The 26,858-nt window shown below is 43.4% G+C and overlaps 1 long non-coding RNA gene across 1 annotated transcript in view; it reads right to left on the reverse strand.

Moving 5' to 3' along the window:
• Positions 1–4,610: 4,610 nt before the first annotated feature.
• The window catches only part of LOC107986904 (uncharacterized), a 34,186-nt gene continuing 11,938 nt past the window's right edge, over positions 4,611–26,858 (reverse strand). Inside the window, exons 2-3 of the long non-coding RNA XR_001745738.3 lie at positions 7,277–8,199; positions 4,611–5,190 (exon numbers count right to left, since the gene is read on the reverse strand). This is a non-coding gene — a long non-coding RNA (uncharacterized LOC107986904). The remainder of the gene's footprint in view (positions 5,191–7,276; positions 8,200–26,858) is intronic.

The raw sequence follows: 26,858 nt of genomic DNA on the forward strand, positions 1-26,858 counted from the left end.
GGGAAAAAAAAGCAAATGTCCAATAGGCAAAGGATGGAACAAACTGTGGTACCTCCATACAATGGAATACTACTTAGCAACAAAAGCAAATGAACTCTTGGTACATGCAACAACCTGGATGGACCTCAGGCATTATGCTTAGTGAAAAAAGCCAGTCTCAGAAGGTTACATACCTTTCGGATCTGTTTCCACTTATCCAACATTCTCGAAACGATGACAGAAAGAGCACAGATTAGTGGTTGCCAGGGAGCAGGAGGATGAGGGGGGAGGAATACAAACAGATAGAATGGAATTCTTTTTTTTTTTTTTTTTAAGACACAGTCTCACTCTGTCACCCATGCTGGAGTGTGGTGGCATAGTCTAGGCTCACTGCAACTTCTGCCTCCCCAGTTCAGGCAATTCTCCTACCTCAGTCTCTGGAGTAGCTGGGATTTACAGGTGTGTGCCACCACACCTGGCTAATTTTTGTATTTTTAGTAGAGACGGGGTCTCACCATGTTAGCCAAGCTGGTCTCAAACTCCTGACCTCAAATGGTCCACCCACCTCGGCCTCCCAAAGTGCTGGGATTTTAGGCATGAGCCACCGCGCCCGGCCTGAATGGAATTCTTTTACTGTGATGGAACAGTTCTGTATCTTGATTGGGATGGTGGTTACATGAATCTATACATGGGATAACATTACATACACACAAATGCAAGCTTAAAAAATGCTGAGAACAGAATAAAATCTGCAGTATAGTTCAACACTACCAGTGCCAACTCCCTGGTTTTGCTATTTTACCACAGCTTTATAAGATGTCACTGCTCGGGGAGGCTGAGGGGAGGGTATATGTGACCCTGTACTTATGGCCTCTTTCTGTGAGTCTATAACTATTTAAAAATAAAAAGTTACAGCCGGACGCAGTGGCTCACGCCTGTAATCCCAGCACTTTGGGAGGCCAAGATGGGCAGATCACAAGGTCAAGAGATAGAGACCATCCGGGCCAACATGGTGAAACCCCGTTTCTACCAAAAATACAAAAATTAGCTGGGTGTGGTGGCACGTGCCTGTAGTCCCAGCTACTCAGGAGGCTGAGGCAGGAGAATCGCTTGAACCCGGGAGGTGGAGGTTGCAGTGAGCCGAGATCACGCCACTGCACTCCAGCCTGGCGACAGAGCGAGACTCCGTCTCAAAAAAAAAAAAAAAAAAAGTTACCAAAAGCCTCCTACTCATTATCATCTACTCATTCCTTCATTTATTCCCTTAATTATCCATTTATGATATTAAAGGCTATCCCTCTCAAAAAAAAAAAACTTAAACATTCAGCAGATCTTCCTTGTTTTATTCTCAAAACATTGCTGAGACCTGTCCTAGACCTGCCTGTGAGCCATCTGGACTCTTGTCTAACACTCGGTCTCCAATAGATGCGTCAAGGGTGGGTGTGATTGTTCTCTGTGGGTAGGGCAGTATCAAAAGCATCTTCAAGTCTCTGACCCATCACTCACGAACATATCTGACCCATCACTCTTGACCCATCACTCATGAACATATCCAAATTCTTAAAGGACTTTATATTTTCAAACAGTGCTACTTCTAAAGGTAATAAATTCCATGCTAGGTACTCAGAGTGCTAATTCTAGGACTCTGAGAAGCTGAGGTGGGAGGATTATTTGAGGCCTGGAGTTCAAGATGAGCCTAGCAACATAGTAAGACCCCTGTCTGTACAAAAAAAAAATCATTTTAATTAGCCAAGTGTGATGGTACACACCTGAAGTCCCAGCTACTTGGGAGGCTGAGACGGGAGGATTCCTTGAGCCCAGGAGTTTGAGGTTACAGTGAGTCACGATCATGCCACTGCACTCCAGACTGGGCAACAGAGAAAGACCCTGTCTCAAAAATAAATAGATAAACGAGACAAGCCTGGCCAACATGGTGAAACCCCGTCTCTACTAAAAACACAAAAATTAGCTGGGTGTGGTGGTGCACGCCTATAATCTCAGCTACTCTGGAAGCTGAGGCAGAAGAATCGCTTGAACCGGGGAGTTGAAGGTTGCAGTGAGCCAGAATCGTGCCTGGGCAACAAGAGCGAAATTTTGTCTCCAAAAAATAAATAAATAAATAAAGTATAGTATAGTATAGTATGGTATGGTATAGCATAGCATAGCATAGCATAGCATAGCATAGCATAGCATAGCATAGCATAATACTGGACAATAGAAACTTTTCTGCTCCATTATAATCTTATGAGACCACCGTCGAGATAGGCAATCCATTGTTAACTGAAATGTCATTATGCAGCACATGACTGTATTGTGCTACAATTGCTCTGTCATTCTCTCATATATTTATAGATGTTTTTTCTAATTCATTTGAAAGTCAGCTGCAAAATCCAGCCATGTTTCCCCCAACATTTCACCGTGCATCTTGAATGAATATGGACATTCTCCTAAATAAGCACACCACCATCATACCTAAGAAAGCTAACATTTATTCGGTTAAATGGTGCCATTTAATATGTGACTTACCTGTAAATTTTACCAATTGTCCCCAATATACCTTTTAAAGCTCTTTTTATTAAGTCCAAGACTGTGTCTCTAAAACATAAAAATTAGTTTAAATTTCATGTTTGCCACCATCGTTTAAAGCCACTTACACTTAATATTTGTACAATTTTGACCCTTTTGAAACCCCATGGTTGCCCCTCTTATTTGATTCTATTGAAATTTGGTGAATAAGTTTGTTTACAGGCATCTTTTCTATGCCCTTCATGAATTCATAGCATGTACTTATTTCTTCTTAGAGCTTTGGTCTCTCCATGCTGGAGTCCACCTCCTTTGAGCTCATGCTCAAATGTAGGTTCCTCTTAATAATTTAGTTTGCCTCTTTCTACGTGTCCTTTATAGGTCCTTCCTTAAGCAGTGTAATGACTAAAATTGCATACATCCCTCCAAGTGCCAACCCACATAGGTTTTATACAAGATATACAGAGCCACGCTTTTAGGATTTAGGACCAACGAATGGCTCTTTTACATGTTAACAATTTAGGAGCTATAAATTTTCTTCCAGACTTTTTCCTTGCCTTAAACTTTTTTACCAGTTGAAAGCTGCATAAAATGAACATCAAGGGCAGAACATCAAAGGAACTAAGAGGCTATGTCCAAGAACACCAGACAACAGGGAGAAGTGTTTCCCAGGTGCCCACAGCAGGCTGCAAGAGAGACCATGGAGGGCTGTGGGTGGCAGATATTTACATAATGACATCGACATATTTTAGCTGCCAGCTGTGAGCTGTCTTCATTTCTTCTTTCACTTGCTCCTCAAAGTGTGAGGTCCAGAGTGACCCCGGTTTGTTGACACCCCCCAGGGACAACTCTGAAATGAACTGCAACTTCAGATTTTGTGTCTAATGTTTCTCTGAATAATGAGCAGGATTTTCTTGGCCTGATATGAAACACACTGGGCAAATATTTTTAGCAAGACATCTATAGTGAATATTATGTCTCTTTTTGGATTGGCAACTGAGAGCTAGCATTTCGTTGTTCGATTTACTTGGATTTGTCCCCTTTTCGTGTGTTTTTACACATTTGCCTTTCATGAACTTTCTCTCTCTGTGGTTTATTTACTCAGTTGTTCACTCGTTTGATGTCACTTCTCATGTGCTTATTATGGACAGCCCTTGGGTTATGCTTTGTGGACACATCACAAACATAACTATGACATAGTCCTGGCACTCAAAAAGAGACCTGCATTCTGTTTTTGAAAGAATGCCCAGGCTGAAGCGCAGTGGCATCGTCTTGGTTCACTGCAACATCCGCCTCCTGGATTCAAGCGATTCTTCTGCCTCAGCCTCCTGAGTAGCTGGGATCACAGGCACCCAGCACCATGCCTGGCTAATGTTTGTATTTTTAGTAGAGACAGGGTTTCACCATGTTGGCCAGTCTGGTCTCAAACTCCTGACCTCAGGCAATCCGCCTACCTCGGCTTCCCAAAATGCTGGGATTACAGGCGTGAGCCACCACGCCTGGCCTGAGGCTTGCATTCTTTAAGTGGGGCACATGACCCAGCACATCGCGTACTCGTGGCTACAGTGATTGGCTCACAGATTACACATGGCCAAAAACAGTCATGTCAGAGCCCAAGAAGACTCAAGTAAGCTCCATGATGACAGGAACCTCTTCTCTCTGTCCACTTCAGTATCCCGAGCATGTAGAAGAATGTCTGGTGCATACTAGGACCTCAATAAATATTTTTGCATTAATTAATTCCATGACTTTCGTTTATGTTATTGAGAAACAGGCTACCTCTTTCCTGCTGCACCAGAGAATTCACAAACTGAAGCTGCCATCTCGCTACCAAATGGAGTCTGAGACTGGAGTCAACAGATTGCAAAGCAAGCAGAAAGGAGAGACACGTGATTGCATCATGTGAGCCCTGAATCTTGCTATGCCTGCAGCCAGGGCTGCCTTGGTCTTGTTACATGAGCCGAGTTTGCAGTTTGCTTATGCCACATTTGATCAGGTTTGTTCCTGTTTGCTGACCAAGTCCTAACTAAAAACATTAAAAGAAGTATCCTGCCTACCCTTAAATCAAAGCATTTCAACCCCTTGACAAGGGAAACACATGGCCCAGACACAGACAATCAGAGTTTAATGGGGCTGATTTTCATGATGGTTTGCTCCTGATAGGAAGGAAGAGCAGGCTCAAATAGTGGGGCTGTCCTTAGCCCAGCCTCCAGGGCTGATGGGCTGGGATGAAGTCATGTGGACCAGTAGAAAGAAAGAAAATGTGAGGCCAAAAAATAGGATCTTTGGACTTAGTTTTCTATTTAAGAGCTCCATAGGCTTGAATAAGTCAGTTGACCTCTCTGGACTTCAGTTTCCTCCAGTACAAAATTAATAACTTGGCCTAAGTGATCAGTTCTACAATGGGTGTGACTGCCTATGTCTCTCTATTGGCATGGGGCTCACTGCTGCTGCAGCTGCTGCCATTATAGCTGCCCCTGTGATAACTGTGGTGGGTGCGGTCACAATCCTGGAGGCCAGAGATCCGAGTGTTGGCAGTGTTGGTTTCTCTGAGGCTTCCTTCCTCGGCTGGTAAGATGGCTGTCCTCTCCCTGTGTCTATCCCCGGACTGCTGCAGGGATAGAGAAGGCAGGGGTGATGATAAGGCTTGTGATGGTGGTGGTGGGTCCTGTGGTGCTGGTGAGGTTCCTAATGGGAAGAATTGGGGCAATAGGGGAAGGCTTATAAGAAAAGAATATTCAGACATGGACAGTAACAAAGGAAAGACCATCTGAAGACACAGGGAGAGGATGGCCATCTACAAATCAAGGAAAGAGGCCTCAGGAGAAACCAACACTGCCAACACTTTGATCTCTAGCCTCCAGCATTGTTAGAAAATTAATTTCTGTTGCTTAAGTCACCGATTCTGTGGTATTTTGTTATGGCAGCCTCAGTAGATGAATACAGGGTTGCATTCATATTTCTTAACTCTTGCCAGTTTATTCTAATGTTCGGCTTCAAGAATGATTGCCCTATAAGGTAAACCTACACTGCCCAGCCCCCATTCAAGACTCTGGCCACATTCCACCTGTCTAATCAGAGACCCCACTTTCCCATAAAGGTTCCCAACTGCAGTGGGACGCTTCAACCCATGACTCTTTTTTTTTTTTTGAGACAGAATCTCACTCTGTCGCCCAGACTGTAGTGCAATGGCACAATCTCGGCTCACTGCAAGCTCCGCTTCCTGGGTTCAAGCGATTCTCCTGCCTCAGCCTCCTGAGTAGCTGGGATTACAGGCATGTGCCACCACACCTGGCTAATTTTTGTATTTTTAGTAGAGACGGGGTTTCACCATGTTGGCCAGGATGGTCTCTATCTCTTGACCTCGTGATCTGCCCACCTCGGCTTCCCAAAATGCTGGGATTACAGGCGTGAGCCACTGCACCCAGCCCGCATGACTCTTAAGAATGCCATGCTAGTTCCTGATACAACTCACTCATTTGTCCCTCCTGACTTTTCTCACTCCCAAAGTCTACTTTGCCCTTCCACCAAACCAAATGCAATGCAAACCTTTTTCAAGCATTTACTAGGCAAAGTGTTTTGATGTCTAACCAAGTAACACAGTTTTAAAGAAGGGCTTGTCAAGACCATTTACTCTTGAGCAGGGAAGGGAACAGTTGTGGGGAGGTGTATTTTAGTTTCCCACCCCAGCCTTCAAGTTACTCCAACCAGGAACCACCTACTGAAAGCTTGGCTCTAAGTTTTCAGAGAGCTAGTGTAGGAATTTCCATGTTATGGAGGGAGAAGGTTCTTTCTGTGGTCCTCTGTTTGGGGGAAGCACCATGAAGGAGTTGGTGAATCAAACTGGCACTCTTTTTTTTTTTATTTTTCTTTAGAGACAGGGTCTTTCTCTGTCACCCAGGCTAGAGTGCAACCATAGCTCACTATAACCTTGAACACTTGGGCTCACAAAATCCTCCCACCTCCACCTCCTGAGTAGCTAGGACCACAGGTCCACACCATCACACTTGGCTATTTTTTTTTTGTTGTAAAGATGGAGGTCTCACCCTGTTGCCCAGGCTGCTCTTGAACTCCTAGCCTCAAGCAATCCTCCCGCCTCAGCCTCCCAAAACACTGGAATTAAAGGTGTGAGCCACCACGCCCAAACCTGGCAATCTTTAAGCTGTGTTCTCAGTTTCCATGGACAATTTTTTTTGCCACTGATTGTCCTGCTAGTCTATGAAATAATGCTAATAAAAAAATATGTTCCTTAGTGATTAAGAGCACAGATTCTGGACTTAGAAGAGCCTGGTTCAAATCTCAGTGCTTCGACTTCCTAACTGTCCAAAAGAGTATTCTAAACTTGGAAACGTGCAGAAGAGATTATTGAGTGATCTGCCAGTGCAGAACTGGGATTTCTACTGACTAGTCAATTTTCATCTCCATAACGGCAGAGGTTTACTTGTAAATTTTGGTCCCGCAGAGAAGCAAATAATTTAACTCTGGTAGAAGAATTAGCTCCAAGGGTTATAGTTGATAGCCCTGTTGGACATTAACTAGCTTTCTATCTCACCCAGTAATCTTTTGGTATTAAATTTCTACTGCTGATATAACAATGTAACACATTTTAGGGTGTAAAAATCATGCAAATGTATTATCTTACAGTACTAGATGTCAGAAGTTCAAAATCTGTTTCACTGGGCTAAAATCAAGGTGTAAGCAGAGCCCTTTTCTTCTGGAGGCTCTAGAAAAGGATTTGTTTTCTTGTCTTTTCCAGCTTCTAGGGATAACCTACATTCCTTGGCTTATGGCCTCTTCCTCCGTCTTCAAAGCACATCACTCCAACCTCCGCTTTCGTTCTTATGTCTTCTCTCTCAGCTGACACTCCTGTCTCCCTCCTATAAGAATGCATGTGATTACATTGGACCTACCCAGATAATCCAGAATAATCTCCCCATCTCAAAACCCATAATTTAATCACATCTGTAAAGTCCTTTCTATTTATAAAGTAACATAAGTAACATATTCAGAAATTCCAGGGATCAGGATTGATTTTTTTCCAGAGGGAACATTATTTAGCCTATCATACTCGCCTTATTTTTTTGTTGTTAAATTGCCTGCATATATCTAAATTCTCTAATGCTCTTTGAATAAGTTTAAACTTCTTATTGGTTCTCTCATTGGTTATTGAGTTAAATAAAATCTTTGACATGGTATCATTTTATATTTTCCTGAGAATTGTGATTTACATTTTTGAAAATTACACTTAACATAGCTCTGTGGCCCTAAGCAAGTTGCTTAATCTCTCTAAGTTTCAGTTTATATATCTGTAAATGAGGATATTAACAATAATAATACTTAACTTTGGGGGCTGTCATTGTTGGAAACAAGTGAGACAATGCATGTAAAGAAATCAGCCCAGTGCCTTGTGCATTTGAAGCCCTCAAAAAATGTTAGATGGTGATCCTGATGCTGATAATGGTGGTGATGCTGCTGATGATGCTGATGATCCTGATGACGATGATGCTGATGGTGCTGATGCTGCTGATGATGCTGATGCTAATGCTGATGATAGTGATATTGATGCTACTGATGATGATGAGGGTGGTGATGCTGATGATGCTGATGCCAATGATGCTGATTACGGTGACAATGATGCTGAGGCTGATGATGATGCTGATGAGAACAAGTGCTCTGGCCCTCAGTGCCTTAACATCCCTAAAATGAAAATATTGTGTTCAGTGCTCTCTATTTTCCTTTGTAGCTCTCTCTAGCTTTATGATCAAGGCCATCAAACATCAGGTACTTTCATTCCGTTTGCTAGATGAAAAAGGCAATGCAACCCCAACCAGAGCACTTGTCTTGGCAAAGGGGTGCTCGCTAGTTTGGGGTCTTGTTGGCCCAACTGGACTTTTTTGTGGCACACACAAACCAAACAAACTCTACGGGGAGGCCCTGACTATGATTTTTAAACAAATTGATGACAGTGACGATCACCCCACACTGTTCTCTAAACAAAAGCAGAGTGATATAACAATTATCTGAAAAAAAGGCAAAACTTGCCTTTGCATTGATTTCATGCCAAAACATGGCTAATTGCATCAGGCAATTGCTAGGAAACTTATTAGCATCAACAGTCATGTTCTTACACACATATACACACATGCACAGAAAACCTAATTCTGCCCAGAACAAATGGACAGTCATCATTTAACAGCCTAACTAGACAACAGTTCCTCCATGGCACATACAGTGATGGATGAGGCTCTCCATGCAAATGTTGTAACCTGCAGATATAGAAGCACTTACCACACAATTACTTGAACTCAGGGTCATGTTGACACTGAAAATATGTAAATGTTCTATGTAAATATTTATTCTCACTCTATTTAAAAAAAAAAAAGGAGAAGACGAATGAGGCTTAAGATGACCAAAGCGGACTTGCTATTCAAAACTCATTCTGAATCAACAGCATCTGAATCACCTGGGAGCTTGTCAGAAATGCAGAATCTCAGGCCCCACCCCAGCACTGCTAAATCATAATCTGCCTATAACAAAATCCCTAGGTGATTCAAATGCACATTGAAGTGTGAGGAGCATTGCACTAAGAACTTCTGAATAAGAGCAGTGGGTAGTAATATCATTTGGAATAGCTGTTCCTTTGGAAAAATCACACCATTGCAGCAAACCATAAGGAATATCAGAAAAGGGAAGTCACTGAATGGTTCTTTCAACAAACATTCATTGAGGGCCTACTATGTGCCAGATAGTATTCTAGGTGCTGGGGGTACAACAATAAGAATGAAAATGAAAGGGCCGGGCGCGGTGGCTCACGCCTGTAATCCCAGCACTTTGGGAGGCCGAGGTGGGTGGATCATGAGGTCAGGAGATCGAGACCATCCTGGCTAACAAGGTGAAACCCCGTCTCTACTAAAAATACAAAAAATTAGCCGGGCGCGGTGGCGGGCGCCTGTAGTCCCAGCTACTCGGGAGGCTGAGGCAGGAGAATGGCGTGAACCCGGGAAGCGGAGCTTGCAGTGAGCCGAGATTGCGCCACTGCAGTCCGCAGTCCGGCCTGGGCGACAGAGCGAGACTCCGTCTCAAAAAAAAAAAAAAAAAAAAAAAAAAAAAAAAAGAATGAAAATGAAAGACCCCTCCCCTTGAGGATCAAATGAATAAATAAAACAGAGTATATAGATTCTCAGATGTTGGAAGCTCCTATGAAGAAAAATGAAATGGGACAGGGAGGAGGGAAATTTTGCAATTTTAAATAATATAGTTAGGAGTTGATATTGATACAGAGACTCAAAGGAAGTGAAGAGACAAGCTATGTGGATATTTCTTGGAACAGCATGACAGGTAAAGGGAATAGCAAAACCAAAGCCCTGAGGAGGAGAAATTATAGCATGTCTATATGTTGGGGAGAAGGATCCATTGAGGATTGCTTGAAGGAGAAGACAGAATTGCCAGTGAAGTTCTTGACAGGTGGAAAAGGATGAGATGCAGCACACAAGAGGAGAGGCCAGCCCAGAAGAGGAGCATGGAGAGTTTGACCATTATCATGTGAGAGAAAGCAAAGCCTATGTTTCCAAATGTGAGTAAGCTGATGGATAAAGTGGTGGGAGCACCTGGAAGTCTCCTCTATTGTTTGAGATATTTCCCTGAAATAGGAATCTAGTTTATCCATTGAGGGAGAGGAGAGGATGGTTATTAAAAGTACGGGAAGAGAAGATAAGGTTTGAAATAGCTGTCTAGAAGAGGGAACAACTACCAAAATGTGTGCTTGTTGGGCAGCCTTGAGTCCACCTTTGTGATATGTCAACATCCCTTTGTTTTTCTCCAGCCATGTTCACTTTCAAGTCTGGAGATGGGGAAAGAGAGGAGAGTTGGATTTAACAATGGTTGAGGTTTTGCCAGGCACCTACAATGAAGTAAGATGGGGGAAAATGTGTTGAGGATGCATGCAAGGAAGTCATTTATAATGAAAGATCATGGAATTAAGGCTAGATTTTAAAAAGACATGAGGGCTCAAACAAAATAAGGGACGATGAATACATAACAGGATCATTGGATGGCAGGTCCCAGTAAAGTCAAGCAAACATCGAGGTCAGGGAACTGGAAGAATTAAACTGGAAAGTTAGAAGATGACAGAGAATGGGATTCTTGAAACTGGGATTGTGAAGGTGATACAATTAGCCGTCATTCCATGATCCAGGCTGCGCCATTCGTTATGGCAGCCACTAGCCACCTGAGGCTATTTAAAATTTATTAAAATTAAAGAAAGTTACAACTCCAGTTCTCCACTGAACTAGCCGCATTTCGGGTATTCAATGGCTCCATATGGCTAGAGGCTACTCTATTGGACAGTGGAAGTAAAGACCATCTCCATTGTCACAGAAGGTTCTACCGGGCAGTGTTACGCTAGGGTTTGACTATGGGGATTCATTGCTGAGGTAAGGTGATGGGTGAGGTCATCAGAGGGCCCTGGATTATCTATACAGATATGGAAATCATCAAAAATTGGAACAGGAACAATTTTGGAAAGACTGCCAGTGGTGCAGAAGCTAAAATCTTCAAGGTGTCAGGAGAGTGAAGTCAGCAGACAATTACTACTGGGATGATTTAAAACTTCATTTTTAGTGAGAATAGGGGTCATGAGAGAGCATGTCTAGGCCTATTAGTAATCAGGATAGTAGGTCAGGGCTACAGGGAAAATGATGTCCCATCATTTTGATGATGATGGAAGAAGGTGAAGAGGACATTCAAAGATGGTTGAGGAAAGAAGAGATTTTGCTCATGGCTAACCATGTGTCCCAGAGTGACAGTGGAAGGGTTTGAGGAGACAGGGAACAGTGAGCAATCAGTTCATGGAAGGGGCTGTGCAGAGTTGCATGAGAAGGCGATCCAGGAGATGAGCAGTCCTGAGAAGCCGCGCTTTGTGTACAAGCTGGGGTAAACAGCAATAAAGGGCACAGGGAGATGGATCCTCACAGCCCCAAAGCATGAACTAGGGAAGCTGTGAGTGTTCAAGGAGAAACAAGGCTCTCGCCAGGAGCACAAAGAATTCTAGAACACCCTCTTCATTTCCGTTCAAGGTAGCATGGAGGCTAGAAAATGACCCAGAGCTCTGGACATCGCGGCTGCCGGCAGGGGAGGATAGAGGCCTGGGAGGGGCGATCTTCCCCAGAGAACGTGGAGCTCCTTCTTGACTCCTTAAACCTGCCACAGACTAGAAATGTCTTTGCGTTGGAGTTTTCCTGGAGAAGGGGTTGCTGTAAGCCAGAAGGCAACCTTCCAAGTCCCTGCACTGGAGACCTACATGAGCTCAAAGCCTGACTCTGATATGCACTTCTCTAAGTCTCCATGCCCAGATCCTCAGGCTTTCCATGTTCTGTCACCTCTACCCAGAAGTCTCCTCTCCCTTTTCCGAGCCAAGGGAACGGTCACAGTCTGCTACTTGAAGATATTCTCTTCAAACATTCAAACAACTGATTTTGTTCATGCATTCATTCATTTGTTCAATGAATACTAATTGAATACCAAATACTAGTTATCAGTATTTATTAATACGCAAGAAATACTGATAACAAGTATTAAGAAAGCAAATTTCATAAACTAGGGCTCAAAAACAAGTTCTACCACCTGTCATTTGCATGAGGTCCTTACATGTTTCTTTAACCTCTCTGAGGCTGTTTTCTCTCCTGCAAAATTTAGACATCAAAACCTTCCTCATAGGGCTAAGGGAGAAGTAAGTAAAATCATCAAACTAATTCATGAAAGTACCTAGTGCAATGCCTGGCACAGATAAAAATTCATTAAGGGTTTGTCATTATTAGTCATAAACGCTTTGCCAGTGCTGCACTAAGTGCCAAGGATGCAAAGACTCATATTCTAGCTTAGGAGATAGGATCAAAACCAATAAATTTTCATTATAATGTGATTTCTTAACAGCCACTCAAAAGAGATGTATACAAATACTATTGGAGTGTCATGAAGTGAAGGATTCCCAGGAGTGATATCTGGAAAGGTCTTCCAATGACTAGGAGTCTTAATCAGCTTGGGTTGCTATCACAGAATACCATCGACTGAGTGGCTTATAAACAACAGATATTTATTTCTCACAATTCTGGAGGCTGTAAAGTCCAAGATCAAGGCACCAGCAGGATCAGTACCTGGTAAGGACCCACTTCTTGGTTCTTAGATGGTCATTTTCTCACTGTGTCCTCATGGGGCAGAAGGGATGAGGGAGCTCTCAGGTTCCTTTTATAAGAACATTAGTCCCATTCATGAGAGCCCTGCCCTTGTGACATAATCACCTCCCAAAGGCCCCACTTTGGGGGTTAGGATTTCAGCATATGAATTTTGGAAAACACAAGCATTCAGTCTACAGCAGAGTCGTTCTCCAGATGGAGAAGGGGAAAGCATCCCAGGTTGAAAGAAGAGTATGGTGCCTTGAAAGGGCATGGTGTGTCCACAAACCTGTGAGAAGCCATGGAGTGGAGAGTGCACAGAAGAGAATAACAGGAGGTGAAGCTTGAGAAGCAAAGGGTCCCTTATAGGGCAGGGTACATTTGCTTTCCCAACCCTTCTGACTTGATCTTGTGAGCAATGGCAGTTTTTAAGCAGAAGAGCACCATGATCAGGATTTTGGCATTAGAGTGGAAGACAGGTCGGGGGAGGAATGAGACTGGAGGCAGGGAGACTTTTAAGAGGCTGTTGAAATAATGCAGGTGAGACATGGTAAGAACCTGGACAAGGGCATTGGCAGAGGAACTAGAAAACCATGGATAGGAGAGACAGTTCTGAAGTAAAACCCACAGGACTCAGGGATGTGTTGGGCTGGATGCAGGAATAGGAAGATAAAGGAGTCATTCGCCACCAGCCCATGAACTCACATAGTTGCAGGTTGCTGAGACACAACTTCAAAATGTCTTAGTGTGTGAGAGCCCCAAGTCCAAGGAAGCTTGAAAGTTACTTGGAATATATCTTGACTCCCTACTGAACACTTGAGCATTTCCTGACAATTATGTAATGATTAAGCAAATAGTCATTCTTTGTTCTCAGAAAAGACTGTAAGACTATGTATCTCTAATGCAAATATAACATTATATTATTATAATATTAACCATTATGCAATTTGTATGCTGCAAGAAATATAAAGCAAAAAGTATGAGACTTAGCCGAAGAAAAGGTCTACTTCATGGAGGAGCTTATCCTTGCACAAAGCCTTAAAGGATGAGCAAATTTTTGATGTATAAAAATGGGCACTCTAAGATGAGGGGGAGCTGCCTGAGCTGAGACAGGTGAGCAGGAAAGCATTTCTCAGGTGGGTTCTGAAAGCCCCTCATCTTGTAAGATGCTCCAGGATGAAAGGAGCCACGATCAAATAAACCCGGGGTAACAACCCGCTATGCAGCCCCTCCCTTGGAGCATCGCAATACTTTTGACATATTAAAGATCTTTAGAAGTTCTGTAATTAAAAGTAATTTGCCTAGTGACAAAAAGCAAATCATCGGTTGCCCGGGGCTGGAGGTGGGAATAGGAGGATTGATTGCAAAGGGGCACAAGGAAACACTCTAGGTAATGGCCATATTCTATATGATAATTGTGATGGTAGGTTACAAGGGTATATACATATGCCAAAACCCATCAAACTGTACACATGAAATATGTACATTATGCCTTATTTAACTTGATTAAAAATAATAATTTGTTTTTTATTTGACTTTGAATAACTTTTTTTTTATTTTTCTCATTAGCATTCCCTCAAAATGCCTATCTGTTGAAACAGCATCTGGAGGAACACCACTGCTTTAGTTTCCTGTTGCTGCTGTAACATATTATCACAACCTTAGTGGCTTAAAGCAACACATATTTATTATCTTACAGCTCTGGAGGTCAGAAATCTGCAATGGGTCTCACTGTGCTAAAATTGAATGTCAAATGGGCAGTGTTCTTTCTGTAGGGGATAATCTGTTTCCTCGCCTTTTCCAGCTTTCAGAGGCCACCTGCACATCTTGGCTCATGGCCTCTTCCTCCATATTCTAAGTCTGCCATCACATCACTCCAACTTTTACTCCCATCCTCCAATCTTCTATTTTTTTTCTTTTTTGAGATAGAGTCTTGCTCCCCTTCCCAGGCTGGAATACAGTAGCATGATCTCAGCACACTGCAACCTCCACCTCCTGGGTTCAAGTGATTCTCATGCCTCAGCCTTCAGAGTAGGCATTCTTGTGCCTCAGCCTCCAGATCCCAGGCCTGGGATCACAGACGTGTGCCACTATGCCCAGCTAATTTTTTTTTCTTTTGTAGTTTTGGCAGAGACAGGGTTTCACCATGTTGGCCAGGCTGGTCTCGAACTCCTGACCTCAAGTGATCTGCCCACCTCAGCCTCCCAACAGGCTTGAGCCACCGCACCTGACCCCAATCTCCTTTTCTGACTCTGACTCTTCTACTTCCCTCTTTTACTTATAAGGACACTTATGATTTCACTAGACCCACTCAGAAAATCCAGGACAATCTCCTCATCTCAAGATCCTTAGCTTAATCCCATCTGCAAAGTCCTTTTTTCTGTGTAAGGTAACACTCACAGGTTCCAAGAATTAGGATGTGGCCATCTTTGAGGGCCATTACTCTACTTATTACAACTATTTTTTAGTATAAAGTAAGACAAATTAATATTAAGCCTGGAAATGAAGACTGAGGCCATATCAAAATAAAGAACCTGGACTTCTCCAGTTAAGAAACAGGCAGAATTTATTTACTTTTGAAGTGGTACATTCACATGTCTTAACATTTGAAAGCTGTCATAAGGTACTGAGTAGAAATTTTCCCCTGTTCCCCAGCCATCCAGTTTCCCTCTCTGGAGCCAACAAATGTTACTTACCACTCTTTAATGTATTATTTTAGACATTATTCATATCTATATATTTTTACATTTTTACACAAATGGTAGCATAGTATAAAAAATTATTTGTAACTTTCTATTTTGGCCTCAACAATATAAATTTGTAGATCATCCCACAGCAAAATGAAAAGACCTTCTTTATTCATCTCTGTGGATACATAGTATTTGATTTTATAGACCACTGGTTCTCAACATGGTTGTTTATTAGAATGACATGGGAGGATCTTGGAAAATCCCCAGGAGTTCCAGTTATCTATTTTTCTGTAATAAACCACCCCAAAACTTAGAAGCATAAAACCATAATCATTTTATTATGCTTGAAATTTTTGGAGTCAATAATTTGGTCAGGGTATAGTAGGGACAACTTGTCTCTGCTCCACAGTGACTGAGGCCCTCAGCTATGGTGGTTGAGATGGCAGGAGTGGCTCAGTTAGAGCTATATATATGGGGCCCTGGTTCTACAGCAGCTGAAGTCCTTGGTGATTGTCTATATCACGTCTGCTGGTGGTGCAATGTCCAAGAACGCTTCTGATATGGTTTGGCTGTGTCCCCATCCAAATCTCAACTTGAACTGTATCTCCCAGAATTCCTACATGTTGTGGGAGGGACCCAGGAAGAGATACTTGAATCATGGGGGCCAGTCTTTCCCATGCTGTTCTAGTGACAGTTAGTAAGTCTCATGAGATCTGATGGGTTTATCAGGGGTTTCCGCTTTTGCTTCTTCCTCATTTTGTCTTGCCACCACCATGTAATAAGAAGTGCCTTTCATCTCCCGACATGATTCCGAGGTTTCCCCAGTCATGTGGAAATCTAAGTCCAATTAAACCATTTTTCCTTCTCAGTCTTGGGTATGTCTTTATCAGTAGCATAAAAATAGACTACTACAGTAAACTGGTACCAGTAGAATGGGGTGTTGCTGAAAAGATACCCAAAAATGTGGAAGCGACTTTGGAACTGGGTAACAGGCAAAGTTTGGAACAGTTTGGAAGGCTCAGAAGAAGACAGGAAAATGTGGGAAAGTTTGGAACCTCCTACAGACTCGTTGAATGGCTTTGCCCAAAATGCTAATAGCGATATGGACAATAAGGTCCAGGCCAAGGTGGTCTCAGATGGACACGAAAAACTAGTTGGGAACTGGAGTAAAGGTAACTCTTGCTGTGTTTTAGCAAAGAGACTGATGGCATTTTGCCTCTGCCCTAGAGATTTGTGGAACTTTGAAAGATAATTTAGGGTATCTGGTGGAAGAAATTTCTTTTTCCTTTTTTTTTTTTTTTTTTTTGAGACGGACTTTTGCTCTTGTTGCCCAGGCTGTAGTGCAATGGCACAATCTCGGCTCACCGCAACCTCTGCCTCTAGAGTTCAAGCAATTCTCCTGCCTCAGCCTCCCAAGTAGTTGGGATTACAGGTATGCACCACCAAGCCCAGCTAACTTTGTATTTTCAGTAGAGACGGGGTTTCCCCATGTTGGTCAGGCTGGTCTCAAACTCCCGACCTCAGGTGATCCGCCCGCCTTGGCCTCCCAAAGTGCTGGGATCACAGGCATAAGCCACCGTGCCCAGCCAGGCGGAAGAAATTTTTAAGCAGCAAAGCATTCAAGAGGTGACTTGGGTTCTGTTAAAGGCATTCTATTTTATAAGGAAAGCAGAGCATAAAAGTTTGGAAAATGTGCAGCCTGACTATGAGATAGAAAAGAAAAACCCATTTTCTGGAGAGAAATTCAAGCCAGCTGCAGAATTTTGCTAAGTAGCAAGGAGCCTAATGTTAATCCCCAAGACCATGGAGAAATGTCTTCAGGCCATGTCAGAGACCTTCATGGCAGCCCCTCCCATCACAGAGGCCTCCTCCTCCCAGAGGCCCAGGAGGAAAAAGTGCTTTCATGAGCCAGGCCCAGGGTCCCTGTGCTGTGTGCAGCCTAGGGACCTGTGTCCCAGCCGCTCCAGCCGTGGCTGAAAGGAGCCAGCATAGAACTCAGGCTGCATCTTCAGAGGGTGGAAGCCCCTAGCCTTGGCAGCTTCCACATGGTGTTGAGACTGCAGGTGCACAGAAGTACAGAATTGAGGTTTGGGGACCTCTGCCTAGATTTCAGAGGATGTATGGAAATGCCTGGATGCCCAGGCAAAAGTTTGCTGCAGGTACAGGGCCCTCATGGAGAGCCTCTGCTAGGGCAATGCAGAAGGGAAATGGGGAGTCGGAGCCCCCACTCAGAGTCCCTACTGGGCACTGCCTAATGGAGCTGTGAGAAGAGGGCCACCATCCTCCAGACCCCAGAATGGTAGATCCACTGACAGTTTGCACTGTGTGCCTGGAAAAGCCACAGATACTAAATGCCAGCCCATGAAAGCAGCCAGGAGGGAGGCTGTACCCTGCAAGGCCACAGGGGCAGAGCTGCCCAAGACATGGGAACCAGCCTCTTGCATCAGTGTGATCTGGATGTGAGACCTGGAGTCAAAGGAGATCATTTTGGAGCCTTAAAATGTGACTGCCCCACTGGATTTCGGACTTGCATGGGCCCTGTAACCCCTTTGTTATGGCCAATTTCTCCCATTTGGAATGGCGCATTTACCCAATACCTGTACCCCCATTGTATCTAGGAAGTAACTGGCTTGATTTTGATATTACAGGCTCATAGGAAGAAGGGACTTGCCTTGTCTCAGACGAGATTTTTGGACTGTGGACTTTTGGGTTAATGCTCAAATGAATTAAGACTTTGGGGGGACTGTTGGGAAGGCATGATTTGTTTTGAAATGTGAGTACGTGAGATTTGGAGAGGCCACGGCAGAATGATATAGTTTGGCTGTGTCCCCATCCAAATCTCAACTTGAATTGTATCTCCCAGAATTCCCAGGTGTTGTGGAAGGGACCCAGGGTTAGGTAATTGAATCATGGGGGCCAGTCTTTCCCGTGCTATTCTAGTGATAGTTAATAAGCCTCACAAGATCTGATGGGTTTATCAGGGGTTTCTGCTTTTGCTTCTTCCTCATTTTCTCTTGCTGCCATCATGTAAGAAGTGCCTTTCACTTCCTGCCATGATTCTGAGGCCTCCCCAGTCATATGGAACTGTAAGTCCTATTAAACCATTTTTACTTCCCAGTCTTGGGTATGTCTTTATCAGCAGCATGTAAACAGACTAATACAGTTTCCTTACTCACTTGCCTGCTTCCTGGACCACTTAGCCATGTGGGCTGTAACAGCTGGGGATAGATGGGTCTCTCTTTCTCTCTCTCTGTCTCTCTCTCTCTGTGTCTCTGTGTGTGTGTCTGTGTGTGTGTGTGTGTGTGTGTGTCTTCCTCTCCCTCGGCAGCTAACTTGGGCTTCCTCACAGCATGGTGGTCTCAGGGTAGTTGAATTTATTACATAGCAGCTGACTCACCCCAGAGCTAAAGTTTCAAGAGGCCAGTGCAGAAGCTACAAAGCTTCTTATGCCTTAGCCTTGGAGGTCCCAGACCATCTCTTCAACCACATTCTGTTAGTCAAGCAAATCCCTAAGCAAGCCCAGATTTGAGGGAAAGGAAATTAGACTCCACTTCTGAATAGGAGGAAAATTTGTAATCACCTTAATGTACCACACCCAGGTGACCTGAATGTGCAGCCAGGCTTGAAAACCAGTTTTAGATCCACCATAACTTATTGTCCATCAAGACACCATTGATGGATACGCAGGCTGCTTCAGACTTTTTGCTATTGTAAGCAACACAGCACTCAACAAGTACTCCAGTCATCATTTCACACATGAGCAAGTAGGTCTGGAGGGCACATTGGGAGAAGTGAAACTGGTGGATTAAAGATTTGGTACTGGAAGTTTCTGAGCTGTAAAGTGGCACAATCAGGGCTGAACTTTAGGAATTCCAATCTGTCCGCACCACCCAGGGCTGAGCAGTGGGACGGGATGGCTGCTGGCAGAGAGACCAGGCTTCATGTTGTCAGACTAGTTGGGATAGAGATCATAAAGTGGAAGCACAGATAGGAAGGAACAGAGGGAAGGGATCGTCAAAATGCAGTCATCCTCTTTAGCAAGTGCTGGAAGACAGAAGTTAATTTGGTGATGAACTTGATGATACGGATGATATGTATCATGACCACACAGTGGTCATGACAGGTTTCTTGGAAGAAGTGAGACTGGAGATGGAGCATTCAGGATGAGGAGAATTTTAATAGCAAGAAAAAAGGAAGACAGCCTTTTCACTGGCATTTCATTTGGTGCTGTTGGAAGATATGGAGAAAGCTCTGTTTTGAGATAGATTATCCAACTCAAGCACATCAGGTTTAGCCAGTGCCTGTCACACAGCAAGTGCTCAAAAACAGGATGTACTATTCCTACTAACAGCAAGTAATTCCTATTAAAATTCCTTAATATATTAGAACATGACTTTTGGTGACAATTATGATTGCTCTCATTATTTCTAAACAGGTGCATGTGCCATGGGAAAAGCTTTGGCTGGGCCGTAGATTCATCACCCATCGGCCCAATCTGGAGCAGATGGTGGTTTCTCCTGCATAATGTCCTACAGCCACCATTGGTCTCTCTCCCTTACATGGGAACATTGGAGGGAATTGATGCTGTCTGGACAGAGACATCCCTAGAATTCCATTCTTGACCTACTATCACCCTTCCAGCCCTAGTACTTATCTCCATGTCACCCCAAAGCTGAGAACATGAGCTGCTTTTCTTTGGGGATGCATTAACAGAAGAGTCTTCAGAGCAAGTATCGAATGAGTCCTACTGTATTCTGGGCTGGAAAGACCTTAACTAATAAATAGTTTCCATTCTAGGTGATAAAAAATAACAACAACAAAACCTAATATCTGGATACTACATTATGATATAGCTAATCCTACTCAACCTTTGGGTGTCAGTTAAAAGTCACTTCTTCCAGGAAGTCCTCCCTGACAACCCTGAGACTGTTCACGTGCCCCAGTATGCACTTTCTTACACCCTGGAGCTCCCTTGCCATAGCAATTAACACACTGTTGTTATTCTTGCTTATGTGTCCACCTCTGCAGTGGAGAAACTCTAAGGTAACCCCCAGTAATTTTTGCCCCCTACTCTTCGTTCCTTGATATATTCCCCCCTGGAGGGTGGAGAGGACCTGTGTCTTGATTCTAACCAATAAGGTGATGGAATGTCATCCCCAGTATTATGATATGTTTGACTCCATTTCAGGAAACTGGAGCAAGAGACCCTCCTTGCTGGCTGATTGAAGTAAGTGGTCAGGTTGGAGAAGCCCATGTGGCAAGGAACTGCAGGAGGCCTCTTTGTTTCTGTGGGTGGTCTCCAGGACCTGAGGGTGGAATCCAGCCAACAGCTATCCAGAAGCTGGGACCTGCAGACATACTATGGTAGGAAAGTCAATTCTACTAACAGCCTAAATGAACATGGAAGCAGACTTTTTCCCCAGGCAAGCTTCTAGTTGAGAACTCAGCTCAGTGATACCCTGACTACAACCCTATAAGATCCTGAACAGAGAAGCCAGCTAAGCCAGACCCAGACTCCTGCCTCAGAGAAACTGTGAGACAATAGAGTATGTTGTTTTAAGCCTCTAAGTTTGTGGTCATTTGTGATGCAGCAATAGAAAACTAACACATTCCCCCACTAGATGCATGCTCTCTGAGGGTGAGACCACATCCATATTACCCCTCACTGTACTCCCAGCAGGTCACACCTTGCCTGGCACATAGTAGGTGCTCAAGAAATATTTTCTGGATGAATGATTGAATGAATGAAGCTGCATCAGTCTTACAATATTTACAATCACTCCATAAGGAGGATTATTTTAATTCAAGTTTTACTAAGACTGAGAAAAAATAAGTGACACATCCAAGAATATCCAAGATTTACATAGAAAGAGAAGAGGTGGGACCTAAACTAGCATCTCCTGGGACCAAATCCCAAGTTCATTCATTAAAATCACAGCTATAAGAACAGTGTTGGCTTTCCACCTTGACAGAGCTGATAGAAGCTTACACAAATAATTGTACCTCACTCATACCCAGAACAGACATCACTAATCAATCACAATACTCTTTTAGGTGAAGTTCATCTTCTAAACTAAACCTTCTCAACTCAGGATTTCAGTAGCCACAGCAGTTGACCACATCTGGCCAAGGAGAGGAAACCTACTCGTCATCCAAATGCTAACCTGCTAGTTAGTTAGAATCTATACCTCCATGTAACTGAATGTAGAATCCATTCCCAGCAATGTCTGGGAAAACTATGAAAGAAAGAAGAGTCTGAGCATAGAAAGGAGTAGGATTTGGGAGAAGAAGAGTCAAGAAAAGAGGTTGGGGTAGGGAAAAACAAAACAAGAAACAGTGTTTCTAGAACCTTCTCTTCAGAGGAAAGCCTCTCACCATTTTCAGGCAAGAAATTCCACTAATGATGCATGCTACAGCTGGATTCTCTTGTGGCTGAATTCCCTGAGTCAGCTGATGAATTCTTCCTTGTATAGTAATTGGCTACAGCAATTAGATTCCCTTTTTTATTATTCGTATTGCCGTGACATATTCCGACTTCTCTCTAAAAATCCAGCTGATGACCGCAACAAGAGTGCAATGGATTGAATATTTGCCATGAATGATATTTTCATTGTTTTGACAATTAAGGTGTATGTTTGCCTGAGGGACTACAGTTATGATATATTAAACATTAATCTCCAGAAATGAAAGCCAACTGTTTGAACAAGAAGTACGTATGCTGCCATAAAAGTGATGGAGCCTAAAAGTAAAAACAGATTGAAAAGTGAGGAAAACAGTCAATGAATTAGTTGTTTGGTTTTTACTTTCTTTATTTGTTAATAAATTGATTAAATCCATTTTTCCCTAGGCATTGCATAGACCAGGGTTATCAAATACATTGTGCTGACAGTACCATCTATCTTGGCCATGGCAGGCATTACTAATTAATCACATCTTTCTTTTCTCCCTGAGCCCCAGCTTGGTCTTGGAAACCATCCCACTATGGAGCTCCAGGCAGCCAATATTAATCTATCATTTTGGATCTCAGGGCAGAACTCCTTGCCATCCAAGACTACAAACACAGCCCCAACTCACAAGTTATCAAGCAGAAAGCAGTAAAGTTTTAGGATTAAGATGGGCACAGACACTGGACTCAGAGTGCCTGGATTTGAAGCCCACTTCTGCTATTTACCAGCCCTTCCATGCCTGTGTTGTCATCTGTAAAATGGGGATACTAATAGCATCTGCATCATAGAACTACAATGATGATTAAACGAATGAAAATACAAGTGTTGGAAGAGTAGCTGGCAAACATAAGCACCGATCTTTCTTATATTTGGATAGTTTGATTTCCTTCATTCTCTGTGCAAAATCTAGCTCTCCTATGAGGTTATAAGCTCCTCAAAAGCAAGTGCCATGATTTTTCCTTCTTTGCATCTCCACCACTTAATACACAATAGGAGCTGAGTCTCTATTTGTTAAATTGTTGAATCAGACTCTTCCAGCCAGACTGGCACACTCACTATCCCATCCCCTTTTATTGGAGATTTCTGCCTCCTTCCATCACTCTCTTCCATCACTTCCCACCTCCTCCATTCCTTTAAGGCTCCACATTATCTCTTCCCCTCTTCCACTCTCCCCACCTCAATCCCATCCCACAAATATTCACCTGTTTCCTACCCATCCTTTAGAGCCTACCTGGTTGGAGTAGTCATTATTTCATTCACCAAATAGTTCCAGCTCTCTGCCTTCTAGGCACATAGCAGAATTTTACTTCCTGCTTTTCTCCCTATGGTCAGCTGAGGCCATAGGAAGAGTCTGACACATGAGTGGAGAATTTGGTTGCTGGTGTGAGGCCCTGCCAATCTCAAATCTCTCTTCTGTCACCAACAGGGCTCCCATCGGCAGCTGCCCCATCAGTTCAGTTTATAGTGATCATGAATTGAGTAATATTGTTTGGCTGTGTTCCCACCCAAATCTCAACTTGAATTGTATCTCTCAGAATTCCCATGTGCTGTGGGAGGGAACCAGGAAGAGGTAATTGAATCATGGAGGCCAATTTTTCCCCTGCTAATAGTGAATAAGTTTCACAAGATCTGATGGGTTTATCAGGAGTTTCCACTTTTGCTTCTTCCTCGTTTTCTCTTGCCACTGCCATGCAAGCAGTGCCTTTTGCCTTCCACCATGATTCTGAGGCCTCCCCAGCCATATGGAGCTGTAAGTCCAATTAAACCTCTTTTCCCTTCCCAGTCTTGGATATGTCTTTGTCAGCAGCGTGAAAGCAGACTAATACAGTAAATTGATACCAGTAGAGTGGGGCGCTGCTGAAAAGATATCCGAAAATGTGGAAGCAACTTTGGAACTAGGTAAGAGGCAGAGGTCGGAACAGTTTGGAGGGCTCAGAAGAAATAAGAAAATGTGGGAAAGTTTCAAACCTCCTAGAGACTTGTTGAATGGCTTTGACAAAAATGCTGATAGTAATATGAACAATAAGGTCTGGCTGAGGTGGTCTCAGAGGGAGATAAGGAACTTGTTGGGAACTGGAGCAAAGGTGATTCTTGTTATGTTTTAGCCAAGAGACTGCTATTCTCGTGATAGTAAATTTCACAAGATCTGATGGGTTTATCAGGGGTTTCTGCTTTCGCTTCTTCCTCATTTTCTCTTGCTGCCACCGTGTTAGAAGAGTCTTTCATCTCCCAACATGATTCTGAGGCCACCCAAGCCATGTGGAACTGTAAGTTCAATTAAACCTCTTTTTTCCTTCTCAGTCTCGAGTATGTCTTTATCAGCAGTGTGAAAATGGACTAATACAGTGGGGCAGAGCCACTAGTACACCAATCATGGGCTAATCGCATGAATGAGAAATAAATCTTTGTTTTTTAAGCCATCAAAGTTTGTTGTTATTGTTGTTTTTCTGCACCATCATTTAATCTATCCTGATGGATACAGTACCTGAAGTTCAGCATCCTCCTTTAAGCCCGTTCCAGCTACCCTGACCCACAACAATTTCTTCCAAAGGATAGGAAAAAAAAATCTTAATTCACTTTTATCCCGGAACCTAACATAAGAGTCTTGCGCGTAGTTAGTGCTCATTAAAAGACTGTTGCAGAAATGAGCAGCTGTTAAACTCTGAGCCTCCAGTTTCCCACCTGTAAAACAGGAAAATCAATTTCTTGCATTCCATACTTTGCAGACCTATTGTGGGGGCTCAGCTGGAATTATGTGTAACAAAGTGCTCTGTGAACTATAAAATGACGGACATCTCAAACATTATTATTAGATGATAAACTACTGAGAAATATTCTCAGAATTCATTCATTTGTCATGTACCTGGCACTATTCCAATTTGATAATGAATTGCCTCCACACACACAATTCTTGAACTCTGCTGCTGTTTTTAAACTCAGGAATGATGATGATAGCCAACCCCTATTGAATGGTCAATATACAGGCACTGACCTGGGTGCTTCCCATGCCGTTATCACTTACAAGCCTCAGTCATAGTAAAAAGAAATGATTTGGATAGTTTGATTCCCTTGTTCTCTACAACAGTAACCCCTCAACATTGATTCCCTTTGTCCTCTGCTACAGTAACTCCTCAACATTGTCAATAGGTTCTTGGAAACTGTGACTTTAAGCGAAACAGCAAAACAGCATATAATGAAACCAATTTCATCACAGGCTAATTGATACAAACAAGAGTTATGTTCCTATGCCATATTTCTGGACACAGAAATCTCGCCAAACTTATAAATAAAGACCTAAAACACTTGTAATATTAAACATTGTAATAAATGTGAGCTATACAGCCAGGAGCAGTGGCTTACACCTGCAATCCCAGCACTTTGGGAGGCTGAGGCTGGCAAATTGCTTGAGCCCAGGAGCTCAAGAGCAACCTGGGCAACATAGCAAAACCCCACCCCTACAAAAAAAAAAAAAAAAAAAAAAAAAAAATATATATATATATATATATATATATATATATGCAAAAAAATTAGCTGGGTGTGGTGGTGAACACCTAGAGTCCCAGCTACCCAGGAGGCTGAGATGGGAGGACCGCTTAAACCTGGGAGGTCAAGGCTGTAGTGAGATATGATTGTGCCACTGCACTCCAGCCTGGGCGATGAAGAGACCCTGTCTCAACAACAACAGCAACAAAATGTGAGCTATAGATATATTTAAGAAGCTTAATAAAAGCAAGTAAGATAATTGTTTGGCCAATTGTTCCAGCTCAGAGTCACCAGTAGGCGGTTGAGGGCACAAGATGGGAACCAAGCCTGGACAGGGCACCATTCCCTCACAGGGTATAGTCACACCCACACCCAAACCCACTCATACTGGGACCATGTAGACACACCAATTCACCTCATGTGCACATCTTTAGGATGTGGGAGGAAACCCTAGTACCTGGAGAAAACCCACATAGACATTGGGAAAATATGCAAATTCCACACAAACAGTGGACTCAGCCAGGAGTCAATTTTTTTTCCCCATCAATGTTATAACAAAACAACGTTGAACAAATGAAACAAAGTTAGTGGAGAACCTGCTGTATGTGGCTATTTTACAGACAGCAAAACCCAGGTTTAAAAGTGCTAAGTTGCCGGGCGTGGTGGCTTATGCCTGTAATCCCAGGTGCAAACCTAGAGCTGCTGGACTCTAAAACCCATGTGCTTGGCCACCCTGTCACACTGCCACTCTCATGGAAGAGGGCCTCGAGGCCTGCTTCTGAAGTCTTTAAACCACAGCCCTCTGAACTTGGGATCTGACAGGGCCTTGCGGCTCTCAGAGCCCTAGTGGGAAACAACATAACCCTACCAGGTAACAACTGTGGCCACCATTGTGGACAAGCCCCGAGAGACCACTCATGTCTATTTAACTTCCCTGTCACAGAGCGTCATACACCGCCAGGCCCAGACAGATACTTAATATGTCCCTGTGATGAAAATCTATGTAGCTGGAAAAGTATTCATTTTCCCTGCACCTACCTAATATTTGATGCCGACACTGAGCCGGCTGGAGGCAAGCAACAAGAATGATTTAATAAAAGTGCAATTGAAACGCAAGGCAAAGGAGAGAAAGTGAGAAAGGCAGGCCAGGCAGCAGCTAAATGTTTGAAACCAAGGCTTTTATGTCTTTGAAACAGAATCCAGGAAAATTGCTGCACCCTCTGTAGATGGCTGGAGGGCTTTTTCCTCTGGATGGTTGCTTCGTTTGGGAGCCTCCAATCTCTTGTCTCACAGGTTGGGAGTGTAGCCCTGAAGTCTCTGTGCAGCAGGGTGTGTGTGAATCAGTCTTGGGAGCTGGCACGGCCCTGGGCCTCGCGTGGAGTCCAGGCCAGGCTCTGACACACTGAGGAGAGTTGAAACGAGAGTGGGTGTTTGCTGACAAGCAGCTTCATGGGAACGCTCTCCTTGGCATTTCTCAGTGCTGAATCAGGGAGAAAAGTTGGGCAGATTGCCTGTGAGGCTCAACACACACACACACACACACACACACACACACAGAGAGAGAGAGA

Source organism: Homo sapiens, chromosome 8, assembly GCF_000001405.40.
Source record: "Homo sapiens chromosome 8, GRCh38.p14 Primary Assembly".
In the NCBI taxonomy this organism is placed as follows: Eukaryota; Metazoa; Chordata; class Mammalia; order Primates; family Hominidae; genus Homo; species Homo sapiens.